General features: G+C 55.1%; 1 protein-coding gene across 8 annotated transcripts in view, besides 1 other annotated feature; it reads left to right on the plus strand.

The window, feature by feature from the left end:
* Positions 1,410–1,579: a silencer, noted in NCBI's record as "silent region_15252". NCBI's record gives its function as "represses an Ori minimal core promoter by ATAC-STARR-seq in GM12878 lymphoblastoid cells {active_cell/tissue: GM12878}" and the evidence as "EXISTENCE:reporter gene assay evidence [ECO:0000049][PMID:35858748]".
* Positions 1,576–17,165, plus strand: part of SORCS2 (sortilin related VPS10 domain containing receptor 2) — a 550,290-nt gene continuing 534,700 nt past the window's right edge. For all 8 annotated transcript variants that reach the window (XM_005247987.5, XM_011513515.3, XM_011513516.3 and 5 more), the window contains exon 1: positions 1,576–2,164. In XM_005247987.5, the coding sequence (XP_005248044.2) occupies positions 1,685–2,164 (480 nt within the window). In that variant the 5' untranslated portion in view covers positions 1,576–1,684. The remainder of the gene's footprint in view (positions 2,165–17,165) is intronic.

Consider the following 17,165-nt stretch of genomic DNA (forward strand, 5'->3'; position numbering starts at 1 on the left):
GAGAGAGACCGCAGAGATTGTGCAGCCTCTTCTTTTACAGTTGGCAAAATGGAGGCTCGGGAGTTTGGGGAAGGCCCTGTGATGGTTCCTGTCTAAGCTGGGAGGAACCGAACCATCTCATTTCTAACTCCATGTTCAGTGATCTCCTGCCAGCCACGGTCTGCAGCCCTCTTTTGGTCCCCCACTTTTCCTCATCTCCCCTCCCCTCCACCCTTCACTGACCCCACTCTGTTCTTCTCTGCTTCCTGTGTGAGACCAGATGTTCCCACAGCTGCAGAGTCCTCCCTTCCCTCTTCCCATTGGGTTTGAAGCTGACAGGTTCAGGATTTACATGGTGGGGTGAGAGGGAACGGCACATTCGGAGTGTGGGGCCTTCTTAGGCATCTGGCCAGACCTCCTCCTCCCCAAGTCCCAGCGCTGGGTACAGCGTGAATGCAGGTAGCCTGTGCCCAGTGCTTTGGGATATGATTTCCTGGGGAGGGAGATGGGTGCTCCAATTCTCTGGGAGCCAGAGGGAACCCCCAATTCTCCATCTTTCCCAAATGTTCGAGGCCTTGCCCCTCTGCCCCAGTAGGCTCTCTCTGGAGCCAAGGGACCCAGCTGGGAGGTGGGGTATGACTGGGACCCCGGCCCAAGGGCTCCTATCTGGCGCGGGGCCTCTGGGGGAAGGCCATGGGCAGGGTGGCCCTGGCCTGGCAGAGGCTCTGACCCTGGCCTTGCCTCGGGAAGCGCCTGCCGTGCTTGTTCCTGGAGGCCCGTCTGACACTCAGGGTGGCTGCTCTGTGAAGTCATTTTTATCGCTACTGAACTAAAGTGGCCACGAGACCTTGGGTGGGGACTTGCTGTGCTCCGAGCCTCAGTTTCCACATTCCTCACTGCGCCTGCCAGGTCCCTAGGACCTCACCCCCTGCCCCCTCCCCACGCCTCCCCACACAGGAGCTTGTCCTGTTCAGGGTAGCTCCCTCGTGGCCCCTGGGTTGGGAGATGAAGCCACTGCACGTCCCGATGTCTGAGCCAGAGGCCTGGCAGTCCTTGGGGCAGTTCTGCTGAGGACACCTTAGGGGCCTCTGCACTGCACCCCCCCACCCCGCTCCGGCCGCCTAGCAGGCCTCCCCAGGGACCTTCACGGGCTTCACCCCCTCTCCACTGCCACCTCTTCAGAGGCCCCTTGAGGAGAACCCTTTATAATCTGCGCCGGGAGCCCTGGTTCTAGCTCAGAGTTCTTTTGCCTATATATGTGTCCTCCTGGGTTGGTCTGTCTCCCTCAGGCTGTCAGCTCCCGGACAGGGACCTGGCTGTTCCCAGCGGGAGCCCAGAGCCGCAGAACCGTGGCTGGACCTGGAGAGAGGGAGGGAGGACGGGAAGAGGTGGGAGAGCCGGGAAGGAGGACCGGAGGAACCACCGAGCTGGGAAGGGGATCCTGGCCTGGAGGTGGGGCCGCGCTCGGGTACGCCGGGCTTCCCACGAGCGCCTGGGCGGCGGGCCGGCCGGCAGGTGGCGGTGCGCGCTCGGCGTCGCGGGTGGCGCCGGGGCCGCCGAGTCCCCTCCTCCCGCCGCTCCCTCCCCTCGCCGGCTCCTTTCTCTGCGCTCTCGCTCGCGCTCCCCAGCGCCCTCCTGCTCTCCCGGCCGCGGTCCCCTCGTCCGCGCCGCCCCGCCGCCGGCTCCGCTGCCGCCCCTGGCGACCATGGCGCACCGGGGGCCCTCGCGCGCCTCGAAGGGCCCCGGCCCCACCGCCCGAGCCCCGAGCCCCGGGGCTCCGCCGCCGCCGCGCTCGCCGCGCTCGCGGCCGCTCCTGCTGCTGCTGCTGCTGCTGGGCGCCTGCGGGGCGGCGGGGCGCTCCCCTGAGCCCGGGCGCCTGGGTCCTCACGCCCAACTGACCCGGGTGCCGCGGAGCCCTCCCGCGGGGCGCGCGGAGCCCGGTGGCGGCGAGGACCGGCAGGCGCGCGGCACGGAGCCAGGCGCCCCGGGTCCGAGTCCCGGTCCCGCTCCTGGTCCCGGCGAGGACGGCGCCCCCGCCGCGGGCTACCGGCGCTGGGAGCGGGCGGCGCCGCTGGCCGGAGTGGCTTCGCGGGCGCAGGTCTCGCTCATCAGCACGTCGTTCGTGCTCAAGGGGGACGCGACGCACAACCAGGCGATGGTGCACTGGACGGGCGAGAACAGCAGCGTAAGTGACCTCCACGCGCTCGCCGCGGCCCCTACCCGGGACACCGCGGGACACCCGGGCGGGACCGCCACGGCCCCCACCCCAGATCCCCACTATGGTCATCAGGGGCGGGTTCTTGGCGACTTGGGCACTTGGGTCACCTCGGCCGCGCCCCTACTGGCCTCTGGTCACTGGTTACTTGGGGAGAGGTCCTCAGATTCGTACGCTTGTCTCACCGCAGGGGACATTCCCGCAGATTTCGGGATCCTGGGCCACCTCCGATACTCCCCCACTGGCCTCCAGGTCTTGGGTTACGGAGGAGGACCCCAGAACCTTCGGAAGCCTGCAGGTCCTTGAGGGTACCCCAGCTCGGCGTTACCTCCCCTGCCCCCAGACTCCACCAGCTGAGCGTCGCGTTCTGGGATTTTGGGCTCCGGGATCCTTCCCTCCCTGGTCTACCAGGGACTCCGCGGTGGCGCCTCCGCAGGCTCCGGGACTTCCCCGGTCAGCTCGAATCCTGTTCTGGGACTCTGGGATTTCTGGGTTACCCCTCTCCCCGGGGTACTCTAGTGCGACCCGCGGCTGTCTTGAGCTCTTGCTGCCGGTCGCCCCGCCTGGATGCACTGGGACCCGCGTACCCCCTTGGGTTCATACCCACACTGTGCTGGAGACCTGTGTGGCGCTGGCACAGCAAACTCCCTGCCCTCCCCCCACCTTCCCGGCTACTCTGGCTTTGCTCCAGCTGGAAGTTTGCCACCTCTGTTGGGGACCTCCTGTTCCTCCACCCACAGCCTGGGGCTCCCACCCTTCCCAAATCCTGCCTCCTCTGGCCTTTGGTGGTGCATGCAGGAGGCAGAGGGTCCCTTTAGATTATTCCCCTGGGGGCTGCCTCAACCTCACTCCCCACTTCCCCCCACCCCCACAAAAGGGCCAAGGGCCACTCTGAAGTCACCCTGGGGCAGCCCCTGGTGGGGCTCTAGTTTTGCAGGTTCCAGAGAAGGATTGGGATAGGGAGGTGGCAGCCATGAATCCCCAGAGGAGGGTACATTTGTATGGGGAGGGGAGATGGAAGCCTCCCCTCATTTCTGTGCCTTGCTGTCTCCTGGGGTCCCCTAGGAGACCTCTTCTCGCTTCCCAAAGGGCCAGGGTTCCTATATGCACTGGCAGTGGCATGGGTGGGGAGCACTGGCCTCTGGAGCCAGGAAAGGGCATAATCTGGGTGGTCACTTGTGCCCATCTCCTCTGTCCAGCTTTGCTGGGCTACTCCCAGCCAGCTGTGATTTGTGCTGGAGGAGGGATGAGGTGGGCAGATGAATATGTTGGGGCAGGGGTAGGGGCAGCACTGAATGAATTTAGTCGGCCTAGAGCCCAGCTCCCCAACCAGCCAGCATCTATCAGGGTACAGGTGCCAAGTGTCTGGTCTTGGGTCATTCCTGGCATCTCCAGCCTGACTAGCAGCCCTTGGAGGGGAGAGCTGGCTCCCTGGGTGCAGTGGGCCAGCAGGGGGCAGTCAGGGTGCCGGCTGGGGTGACTTGCAGAGGTGGCAGGTGCCACCTCCCTAGAAGAGCCCTAGAAGAGTTCTCTCCATCTGCACCTTGAGAGAGGGGTCAGATGCCAGGTACTTGTGAACAAACGGTGTGTGCTCTACCATAAGCTCTAACTCAGGTGGAAAGGCAACCCAGAAACTGAGAGCTCAAAGGACCACATAAATACAAAAAGCAAATCCCGCAGGGCCAGAAAGCTCTAATCCCCTACCCCATCTGCCGAGGTGGTTGATCCTGAAGCTTGCTCCTGCCCCTTTGTCATTTAGCTTCCTGGGGAGGGGGTAGAGGAGCCCCATGTGAGGGGATAGGCTGACATCCAGCCTGCCCCTGTCCTGACCTCACAGTCTGGGTGCAGGGCAGCTTCCTGGGAGAGAGTTGAGGAGGGAGCTTGGGCCAGCAGGGATGGGGCACTGGGGGTGGGGGGCTGTCAGAGGAGCCCATGTGGCTTTGCTCCTTGAGGGCGGCAGCTGGGTTGGGTGACTCCTCTGTGACTGGGTGGGCTTGCGTCCTCACTGCTGGCAGGTGTGTGTGTGTGTGTGTGTGTGTGTTGTGGGGGGAGGATTGTGGGTGGGGGCCAATGTTGGCTTCTCTTTAGTGAGGACAGCAAGTCCAAGGAACCAGAGAGGAGCTTTAAGGGATGGATGTCCTCTGGTCAGCATGAGGCGAGGGGCAGGGGTGAGGTGTGGCACACCGGGCATAGCCTGACACTTAGCAAACACTCGGGGAGTAGAAGCCAGGACACCCTCATTGTGAGTAGTGGGTGTGGGTGTCCGTGGGGTCAGATGCTGGACCAGGCATTGGGCTTCAACACCTTCCACTCCTGCCTCTCTCACACACCCATTCTCTGGACTGGGCAGTCAGGGAAGACCTGATCATCCTGAACCTCAGGGAGCAGGCGAGGCTGCAGGAGTTTGACCTTGCCTGAGAAAACTCAGAAGAGGCAAGAAGGCTGTTATCTTGAGCTAACTAAGTAAAACTGCTTTAAAAGAAAAAATCATTGCCTTAGTGCTTGTTGCATGCGTAGTATTGTTTTCTCAGCACACGCCGTGTCTTAGAAATGTACTCTGCTCCCTCTAGTCTCATCTTGCAACCACAGGACTAAAGATTTCAGCCAGGATTTGGCAGTGGGTTTCACGTCTGCTTGAAAGCACCATCTTTGAAAGCTACAACCAGACAGAAACTCACACGGCTGGTTTGCTGAGCAGTCTTCTTAACGTTTTCTTTCCTCAACTTGCTTGCCGCCCTCTGCAGATGTGGTCAACATGAACAGAGAGCGTGTTTACTTTACCATATCAGGTGTTCTTCAAAATTAAAAGGAGCATTTGATGAGGGAGATGGACTTTAAAACATGGCTTTTGAGAGCATCCCACAAGAAGCAGTCCCAGGATTTAAGCCCTCATTGCTACAGCTCCGTTTAACATTATGTGGGTTTTCCTTCCAACGGCTTGGTTCTGCCTGCTCCCATGGAGATAGAGAAGGGGACTTGCTTGGAAGTTCAAACACCGCCTCCCTGTCTGACGTTTAGCTGTAGAAACAAATTGTTATGTGTGAAATTAATGTTTCATTGAAACCAAGAGGTATTGCGTTTTTATGGATCTAGAGTGGGCTGTGCACACACAGCTCTGGGTTTTGCATCTCCGGAGCTGCCCTTGGAGGCAGCGGTGCTATTTGAAGGTGGATAAATATTACAGAGTGTGGCTCTCAGCCTCTGGGGTTGCGGTTTCATGTTATTCCTATGGGGAATGTGCTGTGCCCCGTCCTGTTCTTAATGTTTCTGGGAAATCGTGGGCTTATTGTGCTTATTTTAAGCACAGCTCACCTGGGCTCCTTCCCACAAGGCACTTGATCCTCAACTTTGAAGCTGAATGTATCATTTGACTTGAACGTGAGCTTCCTGCAGCCTGGTCCAGTTTGTTCACCTCTGTCATTGTTCCCCGAGAAGATCAGCACCTCCCTCCCCTGCCCTCCCTTCCCCTCCCCTCCCCCTTCCCTCTCCCTCCCCTCCCTCTGCCCATTTTCCAAATCTGCTCTGTGCTGCGCCTACATGGTTAGTGGTATCCAAGGCAGTTGAATGCAGAGGTGATTCTGAGCAGACTACCCACACTCTCTGTTCTGCAATCTTGATGAACCCGATATTTGTGTATATTTTATACCCAGAGAGCTAGAGCTACACATCAGAAGAGCTTCTGAAACTTGTTTCTCTGAGTTAAGAGGTCAAGAACTAATGGTATGTGGCAGCTTCTACTATACTACCCATGGCCTCTCCCCAAGTTTGCGTGAGAATTCCATCATGACATCTGCCAGGTGTCGAGTTCCTGGAGGGCAGGTGAATTCTCTTTCTAGGGCTGCCAGGGCAAAGTGCCACAGACTATGTGGCTGAAGCAACAGAAATGTATTTTCTTGCAGTCCTGGAAGCTGGAAGTCAGAGATCAAGGTATTGTCCAGGTTGATTCCTTCTGCGGCCTCTCTCCTGGGCTCGCAGATGCCACCTTCTCCCATGTCTCCACATGGTCTTCCCTCTGTGTGTGTCTGTGTCCTCATCTCCATTTCTTGTAAGGGCACCAGTCATATTGGATCAGGGCTTATTCTAACCACCTCATTTTAACTTAGTTACCTCTTTAAAGGCCCTGCTTCCAAATACAGTCACATTTTGAAGTGCTAAGGACTTCAACGTATGGATTTTGGTGGGGGGACACAGTTCAGACCCTAATAGCAGGGAAGGGGTCTCAGCTTCCTTTGCATCTCCTGAGTTTAGAAGTGGATCTTAGAGTAGTCTAGTGGGAGACAGCAGATGGACATGAACAGCTAGGATATGAGGGGGCAAGTGTCACCCTCCCCCGATAATGCTGATGGGGAAATCAGGGAAGACTGCATGGAAGAGGGCATCAAGGCTGACCTAAAGAATGAGTAGGTGGAGTGTATAGGAGATGGAGAACATTCCAGAAAACAACATTCCAACTTGAGCAAGGTCTGGGGGGTAGGAATTTTGAAGGTATGTGTGTGTTATATAAAGTGAGAGTGAATGCATTGTGCATGGAGACAAACCATAGAAAAGAAGTTTGGAAAAAATAGATTAAAAAGTCAGCTCCCGATGGACCCCAGATGTGAGGCTGAAGAGTCCGTGTCGCAGTGACGAGTGGTGGACATTGCAATTGAGCTTCAGAGGCAGCCTGCCCGGGTCTGTATCCTGGCCCTGCCACTCTCTGGCTCTGGGATCCAGGTCAAATGGACTAAATTCTCTGGACTTCAGTGACCATATCTTGAAAATGGGAGAAGTAAAGGCTCATAGGTTTGTGGTGCAGGTGAAGTGAGATCTTCCATGTCAAATGCTCAGATCAGAGCCTGGCCCACAGCAGGAGCTCAGAGAATGATATCAAGAAACAGCCCTGGAGGCACTGTGGGGGATGGGGCTGGTGAGGGCTGCAGGGTGAGACATCTGGACAGAGGCTCAGGGAGGAGCTGCTGCCAGAGGGAGGCTTGGACCAAGGCTGTGGAGGGGGCTGAGGGAGAGGAGAGTGGGCTGGAGAGAGGTGCGTGGCTGGGCGCACAGGACGTGGCTGCCCCGGCTCTGCAGGCCTCTCTGTCCTGGGTGGTGCTGGGCTTCTAGGCTCCAGGCCAGCCTCCAGAGTGCAGAGACCATGTGAGTTCTTAAATGAACGGGTTCAAATCCACGACAAAGCTGACTTGAAGCCTCGTGTCCGATGCTTGTGGTTTTGTGATGTCAACTCCAGTCCACCTTAGAGGACAGCTTGGTGGCTCCAAGCTTGGGGTTTTGTATTTAAGTATGCTGAACTTGCTGTGCGTTACTCTGGAATTCTAGGCCCACATGGTGTGGGCCTCCCAGCATTTGGGGTGGAGGCTGGATTGGAGCCTGAGGTGTGGCCCCCGGTGGCTGAGCTGTGGCTGGTCGGCCTGTGAGTGCTGGGCCTCCGTCCAGAGGAAGTGCATCTCTGTCGTGATAGCTCATCACCAAGGGTGTCCAGCGGCCACCTGGAGAGAGACAGAAGCAGGCAGAGGTCAAGGGATGTGGTGACCAGGGGTGAGTGCCTGTCATACTTGCTGTCAGGAGCTGGCTGCTGGTGGGGCAAGCCTGTCCGGGACCCTGGGCCTGGCAGCTGGATGAAGAACCATGAGGGAGCCGGGGACTCTGTGTGGAGAGAGGCGGCAGCACATGGGGACATGCAGAGGGCGGGCTGAGTCTAGGGAAGTCTCGGCGTGCAAACCACAGGCTCGCACGGTGACCCAGGGCTTCTGCCCTTGCCCCAGTCACTCGACACTCAGAGCATGGGTTGAGAGCTCCCAGCAGGAAGGGGAGGGTGTTGTGCCCAGAACCCTCCACGTGGCCTCATATTTGCCTCCAAAGCAGCCGGCAGGCCTTGTTTCCTGGGTGCTTACCCATGGGGTCTGCTGGGTGCACTTTGCGGAAGTCCCCATCCTTCTGATTCTCCTGTGAGCCGGGAGGATGGGGAGCCGTGCTCTCTCTCGACCTGGGCCCTAGTTTCGTCATCGTGTTTCGGGTGTCAGCCCTGGGGTGCAGAGGAAGGGCCTGGAGCCAGTGGGATGGGCTCCTTCTCTTGAAGTGCTTGTGGTCCAAAGCGGGGTGGGGGCAGAGAGCCCCAGGGATGCAATTCAGGAGGAGCGAAGTGGGGCCGGTGTGGAGGCACAGTGCAGGGAGAGCAAGGTGGGGCAGGGGAAGCTCAGTTCACCTGGGGAGGGGGTCACATGGGCCACAGGTGGAGGAGGATGAGGATGACTGGCAAGGCTGGGGAGGTGTGGCTGAGGGGAGCAGCAGAGATCTCTGAGGTGTAGAGGGCAGGTGAGCCTGGTGGAGGGGCTGCCCGTGGCCATTGCCTGTGCTGTGAAGCAGGGGCTCCCTGAGCAGGGCTCCTGCCCATGGTGTTTCCTGGCTGGGGTCCGAGGGAGGCTGTTGCTGTGGTCTGGCCTTCACAGACTCACTCTGTGGCCTGGGTGGGGCGGGCCGCTCTGGGATGGGGAGCTGCGTAGACCCGCTTCCCTGGCCTGGGTGGGGCGGGCCATTCTGGGAAGGCAGAATACAAACTCTGCCTTCGTTTGTATTCTCATCCAAGTTCAACAGATGAGACCTTGACTGTGGATCCCCCATGTTCTGTCCTCTCTCTGCACCCCCTCAAGTGCTGGTCTGTTCCTGTTGCCTCTGAGGACCCCTGAGAAGCTCCCAAACCCACTCTCCCACTCCCCAAAATCAGTTCACCTGACCTAAGGTGCCCTGCCTTGCTGGGTCCTTGCCTGAGGGACCGACACTCCCGGGGAATGCGAGCAGGAGGGGTTATGGGATAGAAACTGGCTTTGGGCTGGAAGTCCACCCCTCTGGTGCACAGTGGGGAAGCGCAGAGGTGGGGGAGGCTGGATTGTCTTCGGTTGCCCCGCGTGCAGGGCAGCAGCGTGGATGGGCTCTCGTGCTGCTCTGGAGGCCCTGATCCCCCCTCGCTGGAAGTGCTCAAAAGGAGGCTCCATGTCCATGCTCCAGGCCACTGCAGGGACTTTCGGTTTGGGGTGGGAAGCGGGACCACCAGGGGCCGACTGAGGGGTCCAGAGTTGTGGTTGTGAGCCCAGATTCCCAGCCGGACCCAGGGGTGCACTCCATGCTGTTCCACATGGCCTCTGGCTCTGACCCCGGGGTCCCTCCCCTGCCCTCCAACACATTAGTGCTGCCTTCCCTCTCCTCCCTGGGGAGCCCTGGGTTCTCTCCCTGCAGCGCTCAGCTGGGCACTCACTCCTCCCTTCCCATCATGCTGGCCACCCATGTAGCCAGTCTTCCCCAGGCCTCAGTTTCCCCATCTGTAAGGTGAGCGTCAGGACCAGACCATCTCCAAGGTCACTACCAACCCGGACGTTGTTTATGCTTAGTACACATTTGCTAATTTATTTGTATTTTATTTATATGAATGGAGACCGGGAATGAAGTAGAAGAGACTTTGGAATGCCCAGCCCAAGAACCTCACCGCAGCCTCTTTCAAGTAGTAATGAAGGAGGCAGATTTCCATGAGAGTTGAGCTTCAGGCACAGCTGGTCTCACCCGTGCCTGCTGTTCACGCTTGGATGAGGACTGAACCTCTCTGAGCCTTTTTCCTCATTTATCAAATGAGGATCATGGTTCCTGTGTGTCAGGCCAGTGCTGGGGCCACACACTCCATGGATGGGGGCCTGGCCAGCAGAGCCACCAATGTCCTCCTTCATCTTATTTCCTAAGAGTGTCGACCTCACTTGCATCTTCACTGTCTTCTTGAAACTAGCTCAAGGCCCGGCTCGTGGTGGCTGTTGGCCTCAGCTCTTTACCGAGCTTCTCTGTGTGCCTAGCGCTGTTAGCTGCTGAGGATTCAGTGAGGGGCCAAGTCAAACTTGGCCCCTGCGCGGGTGAAATGTTTGGTCTGGACAGGAATTCACCCCAGCGCGTTCTAGGTGCCGTGTGAATCTGCGCTGGGGAAGTCTGGGAAGATTTCCTGGAGGAGGTGAAGATGGAGCTGCTCTGCAGGATGAGTAGAGTCCCGGGCTGAGGAGGAGGTTGGAATGGTGAGAATATTAAGGCTGAAGGAGAGGCCTAGGGGCTGGAGCAGCCTGGAGCGCTCATGGGCACAGGAGAGACTCGTGCGTTGATCAAGAAGCCTGGCTCGAAGTCATAGAGACAGCCCTGTTAATAAAGTTGCTGAGCACATTTCACAAATCCACTTTTACTTTAATAAAGGGCGATTTAATTTGTAGTTGCGTGAAGGTTCCTGAGAGTATTCTAAAGAGGTCATAAATTAGCCTCATTCCTCGGCACGCCCCTCAGATGAGAAGGCAGCCCAGAGCTTGCGTGGGCCTCTCGGCGTAGCCGTTACTTTATTTTATGGTGATTTTTCAGAGTCAGGCTAAGACTTGTGCAGATGATTCGATGGAGAGCAGACTGGAGTGACGGGCGAATCAGCTGGGACGCTGCCGAGAACCCCTGTGCCTTTTCCGGTGCAGGAAGAAATGGAGGGGAAGCTTGTACGTTGCCTCCTCTTTTGGGGCCGCCTTGTCTTTCTTTTTTCAGACTCCAAAGGATGAGTTATTTATAGGTTCTTACGAATGGCCCACTTTGTCCTCGCCCCTCCTTAGTCGCTAGTTTGGGTGGGTGCTCTGTGGATTGCAGGGATGCCGATGACCTGAGAAGCCTGGCTGTGCTGCAGCTGCTGTTCCTGACCGACGTCCTCCCCTTTTGGAAGTCCAGGGAGCAGAGATCCCTGGCTCTGGCCACCGGGAGGGCAAGGTCTCCGTCTGTAGCTTTGGAAAGGTGAAGGCATGTGTTCTGCATTGGTTCACATCCTGCTTTTTCTTGGAAAGCGCCGTCCTGGATGTGAGCTTGGATTCTGGGTGTAGAAGAAGTGCAGACATGGGGCTGTCAGTCTAAGTGGGTGGTGGGGGTGGGGAATGCCCTGTACCTCTCTCCCCGCTCCCAGCAGGTTCCCACAAGCACAGACCATCCCTGACCTGCTCTGCAAGGCTGTAAAACACAGACTTAGGCAATTTGCTCACTGCTGATTGATATGCAGCCCGCTGAGGGCAACAGCAACGTCTTTTCCATTCAGCCTCATGACTCGGGACCGCTTCCCAGAAGGCCTATGGTGCTTGTCACCTCTATTCCAATTAAGCTCCATTTGTCATTAAAAAAATGGAATAGGGATACTTGAGTGAGTGAGGACTCTCCTTGGAAGACTGGAATAAAAGGTAAAACTCCAGTGTCCTTTTGAGGTGGAAAATCTCCTTCTTATTTTGCATTTCTATAGCAGTCAGTTACTGTATTTGCACAGAAAATTACAATCATTTAATTAGTTTCTTCTCACACCAGCTCGAAGATCTTAAAATAACAGCACTCTCCTTCCTTAGTAATTTTCTTGCAAAAGCAGATAATTTCCTGCAATGTTGAGCTCGCCTTGACTCACACCGAGCACATTTCTTGCAAGTCACCATTTCCTGACGCTCAGATAAATGAAGTTCAAATTAGAGAAAGAAAAGAGCCAGGCAGAGTGTGGCCGCTTCCATTCAGATCAATTTTAATTCAGAAAGAATTCTTTATGAGGCTTCTTTGCCGTGCATATTTCTGAAGCATCAGACGTAGTGATAACATCTCCTAGGCCTCAGCCGGGGAGATCCAGCAGTTAGGATCACCTCCCAGCTTCTGCTTCTGATGTAATTTTACCTTATAATAATAATCCCTCACTATTTACATGGAACTGCTGATTAGTAATAATAAAGTTAATAATCACAGCCCCTATCTACGTGCCGGATGCTGCGTCAGGCACGTCATGCCCATTTGTCTCATTTGCTCCTGAACAGAGACCTACACAGTAGATATCATGGTTATATGCATTTTGCAGCAATGGAAAATAAGGTTCGGTGTGGCAGGAGGACTTGCCCCCAGTCACACAGCTAGTGAGGATCTGAGCTGTGGTTTGAATTCCTTCACTCTTGAGCCTGAGTTCTTTTTAAAATTCTTTTTGCTGGCTGGGCGTGGTGGCTCACGCCTGTAATCCCAACACTTTGGGAGGCCGAGGCAGGTGGATTACCTAAGGCCAGGAGTTTGAGATCAGCCTGGCCAACATGGTGAAAATTTGTAAAAATACAAAATTAGCCGGGCGTGATGGCACATGCCTGTAATCCCAGCTGCTTGGAAGGCTGAGGCAGAAGAATCGCTTGAATCAGGGAGACGGAGATTGTAGTGAGCCGAGATTGTGCCACTGCACTCTGGCCTGGGCGACAGAGCAAGACTCCGCCTCAAAAAAAATTCTTTTTTCTTTAGAGACGGAGATTGCAGTGAGCCGAGATCGTGCCACTGCACTCTGGCCTGGGCGACAGAGCAAGACTCTGCCTCAAAAAAAATTCTTTTTTCTTTAGAGACGGAGATTGCAGTGAGCCGAGATCGTGCCACTGCACTCTGGCCTGGGCGACAGAGCAAGACTCTGCCTAAAAAAAAATTCTTTTTTCTTTATTACTATTTTTAAAATTGTGGTAAAATATATGTAACATAAATTCACTGTTTTAATGCTTTTTCAGTGTATGGTTCTGGGGGCATTCAATGCATTCACAGTGTTGTGCAGCTGTGACCACCATTCTTCTCCAGAACGTTCTCATCTTCCCAAATGGAAACTCTGCCCCTCTTAAACACTAACCCCCATCACCCTCCTCCACCCCCGCCACTCACAGTCTACTTTCTGTCTCTATGAATTTGATGCTCTAATGGCCTCATATGGGTGGAACCATACACATTTGTCATTTTGTGTCTGGTTTATTTCACTCAGCATGATGTCCTGAAGGTTTGCCCAGGCTGTAGCAGGTGCCAGAATTTCCTTCCTTTTTTTACGGCTGAGTAATATTCCACTGTATGGACACCACACATTTCCTTTCTTCATGCATCTGTGGATGGGCGTTTGGGTTGTTTCCACCTTTTGGGTAGTGTGAATTAGGCTGCTGTGAACATGGGTGTGCAGATATTTTTTCAAATCCCTGCTTTCAGTCCTTTTGGGTAAATGCCCAGAAGTGGGATTGCTAGATCTTATGGTAATCCTACGTCAGTTTTTTTTCTTCTTGAGACTGGGTCTTGCTCTGTTGCCTAGGCTGGAGTGCAGTGATGTGGTCACAGCTCACTGCAGCCTCAACCTCCTCTGACTAAGCGATTCTCTCACCTCAGCCTCCCAAATAGCTGGGAGTGCAGGTGCACGCCACCACACCTGGCTAATTTTTGTATTTTTTAGTAGAGATGGGGGTTTTGCTGTATTGCCCAGGCTGGTCTTAAACTCCTAAGCTCAAGCAATCCACCCGCCTCAGCCTCCAAAAGTGTTGAGATTGTAGGCGTGAGCCACCATGCCTGGCTTATGTTAAGTTTTTGATTGAGCCTGAGGTTTTATCTGCATCAGAAGTCACTCTTGTGGCTGCCTTGTGTTGTACCCACTTGCCGGTCAGTAGCACAATTGCAACCCCCAAGGAAATCCACAGGAGGAGAAACATGTGTGGCATTAGGACAATCCCGTGCCTAGAAGGGACACGGTGGCAAGGCTGCGTCGTGGGAGTCACCTTTCCCTGTTCTGTTCTCATAACCTCTGAATTCTGCCACTTGTGACCCAAGGAGGGGGTATCTCTCTGAGCCCAGGAAATCCAGATCTGTCAATTTTGGGAAGTCAGAAATAGGCTGGTCTGGTGCTGCGCCAAGGGTGGAAAAGGAGACCATTCCCGGAGGCATTGCTCGGCGCGGCCGCGCTTGCTAAGGGTAACCGTTTGCCTTCCAAGTTCAAGCCCATTTCTCTTCCTCCTCTGCTTTTAGGCACTTTTCCCAATTGACTACCTCATTGACCAGTTAAGTAATTCAATTTGCACTCTGTAAAAATAAAGCACTCAATAAAAACCCTATGTTTTTCTCAATTATTCCCATCAATACCACTTAACCCCAGCCAAGTTTATTTTCTGATTTTTCATTTGACCATCAAATAGGCCTTCTGGGCATCCACTTTGAGTCCTGCAGCAGCTATGACGTCAGGCGGCTGCTGTGTACCTGGCTGTGGGTTAGGCTCCTTGGGTGGACCAAGGACACACACCCAGGGGTTTTCTGGCTTTGAGGACCCCAAACTGGCACAGGGGCTCTTAGCTCTCTCTGTGCCCTAGACTCCTGCCCATCCCAATCCTGGAGAAGCTGATGAAACTTTCTCAGAATGAGGATTTTATAATTAGCATAAAACAAAGTATAGATCCAGAGGAAACCAATTTCATGGCAATGAAGTTATCAAAATACAGTTTTAGTATTTCTTCAGTAACACTTCCGTAAGAACTAGCAGCAGGTGTGATGATTTCCATAGTTTTGAAGTTGTGCTGAGTGTAAGCCATACTTTGAGATCGATAACAACTGTGATCTGGTCTTGGAGATAGCTGTGATTTCTGTTGGTGACACTCAGGTACTGATGATACATTTGTGACTTGTTGCCTACTTCATAATGGAGGAAATGCCTAATTTCAGCTGGGGCTGGTTGAAAACAAAGAGGCCATTGTTTCTGCATCCAAGTTCATGGGTTCCTGAAGAAACAGCAGGCAGAGAGAATCAGGAGCATGTAGAAATAATGCCCTGAGGCCGGACGCGGTGGCTCACGCCCGGAATCCCAGCACTTTGGGAGGCAGAGGCGGGTGGATCACGTGAGGTCAGGAAGTTTGAGACCAGTCTGGGCAACATGGTGAAACCCCGTCTCTACTAAAAATACAAAGAAATTAGCTGGGCATGGTGGCAGACGCCTATAATCCCAGCTACCCGGGAGGCTGAGGCAGGAGAATTGCTTGAACCTGGGATGTGGAGGTTGCAGTGAGCTGAGATCACGCCACTGCACTCCAGCCTGGGTGACAGAATGAGACTCCATCTCAAAACAAAAACAAAAACAAAAACAAAAAACAAAAAAACAAAAACACCATGCGAGGTAGGACTCGGCTGGAGGGATGAGATGGGGACAGATGGACCCCATGGGAATGATGCATCCCTCTGCAGTCCTGTCCCCTCTGCCCTGCCCCAGTGTCCGCGTCTTCCCCAGGCCTCCTCTCTGGTCTCCTCCAGCCCACTAAGGGTATGGACTCCAGGGGCTCAGGGGCTTTGGTCTGTTTCATTCCCTGTTGCTCCCCAAGCGCCTGGTGCTTAGTAGATGCTCAGTAAACATCCGAGGACTTCTGAAAGGAGGAGCTAGCAGGAGGTCATGGATCCTGAAGCTCAGAGGCCTAGCTTTCCTGCTGGGGAATCTGGGGAGAGTCGAGTCCCTCTGTCCTCGCAAAGCTGGTAAGTGAGGATCTGGGCTCCCTGGCCCACTGCCGGCTCCACGAGTAACCTGGGAAGCTCTTTAACGCACTAATTAATCTCCACCCCGTGGGGTGGGGATTATGGCACATATCTGCAGAGAAAAGAGCTGGCTGCCAGAGAGACAGACAGATTTGTTTCTTGCCTGAGAGGAGTCCTGGGCAGAGGGGAAGCAGTCTAGCAGCTGCTGACTCATGGTCGTGGCTGTGCAGCCAGGTCCTGGTGACACCCACGCCTCCATGGTGGGGCCACTGGGTCAGCCAGGAGCCAGGGTACTCCGTGGTGAGAAAACACCCATTCCCAAATTGAATTAGGGCATTTAAATAGCATCCTTGATGATCCCAGCCTCATCTCACCCAGTAAAACAAAACAAAACAAGACAAAACAAGAAACCCATGAGATGGGTTTGCTCAGCTTTCAACAAAGACAAATGACTCTGGGGTAGGTTGAACCATGGGAGGGCTTTCCCAGGGGAGAGCAGGATTCGAGAAACCTGGGCTTTCTGACGGAAATGACTTTGCAGCATCACCCACCTGCTCGCTCACTCATCCATCTATCTACAAACCAGCCCCGCACCTAGCATCACCCACTGCTAACGTGCTCATCCATCCATGTACACGCCAGCCCTGTGCTGAGCCTTCTCTCTGGGCCAGCTTCAGAGGAATCACCAGTTTCTGAGTTCTCAGGGGGCCTTCTAATGGAGGGAGCCCCGAAAATGGCCTTTGTCCACATGTGGGGCCTCGCTTTTCATTCTTTGTCTGTGAATGTCTTTTCTTCCAATCCACATCCACATGTCCCTTTGAGGAGGGCTGGAAAGGTGCAGTGCTGAGCTGTGTCTGGGAAGGCTTGCTGCTGGCCCCTCCGAGCCCCTCCCGCCCACACAGCCTGGGCCGGGAGCCGACGTGAGTCACCGGGCTGCTCTCTGCGTTCACCCAGCGCCTGGCCAGGGCCCAGCTGCTGGGCTGGAGTGTGGCGGCCACCGTGGCCAGACAATTCAGGCTCCTGGAGGCGGGCAGGTTCAGTGGGCTGCCCCGAGCTCTGAGCTGGGGCCGGCTCCCCAGTCCTCCAGGCCTGGGTTCCCTCATCTGCACTGGGGCTGGCAGGATCCCTCCTTATGGCACATATAAGTAAAGGTACAGGGAGCAGGGCAGATGTCTAGCGATGCAGGAGCGAGCTTCTTCAGTCCCAGGGAAGACTGCACTGTTGTCCCCTAATCAGAATGTGCCTTCTTTCTCTAGGGGGATTTTATGTGGTTCCAATTTCTTCCCATTTCCTGAATAGTTTGCTAAAGTGGAACAAAGCCCAGCATATTTCATGAACATTCAGCGACTCCAGTTTACTTTTAAAGAAAGTATTTCTCGTTGACATCTGGTTTTTCACAAGTTTCCTGATATGAATTATTGCCTGGAATTCTCACCTCTAAGATCAAGTCAGAATTTCTTTCCATCTTGCCTGTGGCCGAGCAGAGGGCTGGGCAATGACGGGGAAATCCAAAACCCGGGAACTTCTGGGACTTGTCTGGGGCGGGAAGGGAGTTTTCGGGCGCCTTCTCCCAGGATCCCACCTCCCCCAGTGTCCCTTGGCCCTGGGTGGGAGCCAGCTTGGCCTATGAAGGCAAAGAAGATCAGCTGGGGCCCACCTTCCTGTCTCAGGAAGGCAA

Source organism: Homo sapiens, chromosome 4, assembly GCF_000001405.40.
Source record: "Homo sapiens chromosome 4, GRCh38.p14 Primary Assembly".
Lineage (NCBI taxonomy): Eukaryota > Metazoa > Chordata > Mammalia > Primates > Hominidae > Homo > Homo sapiens.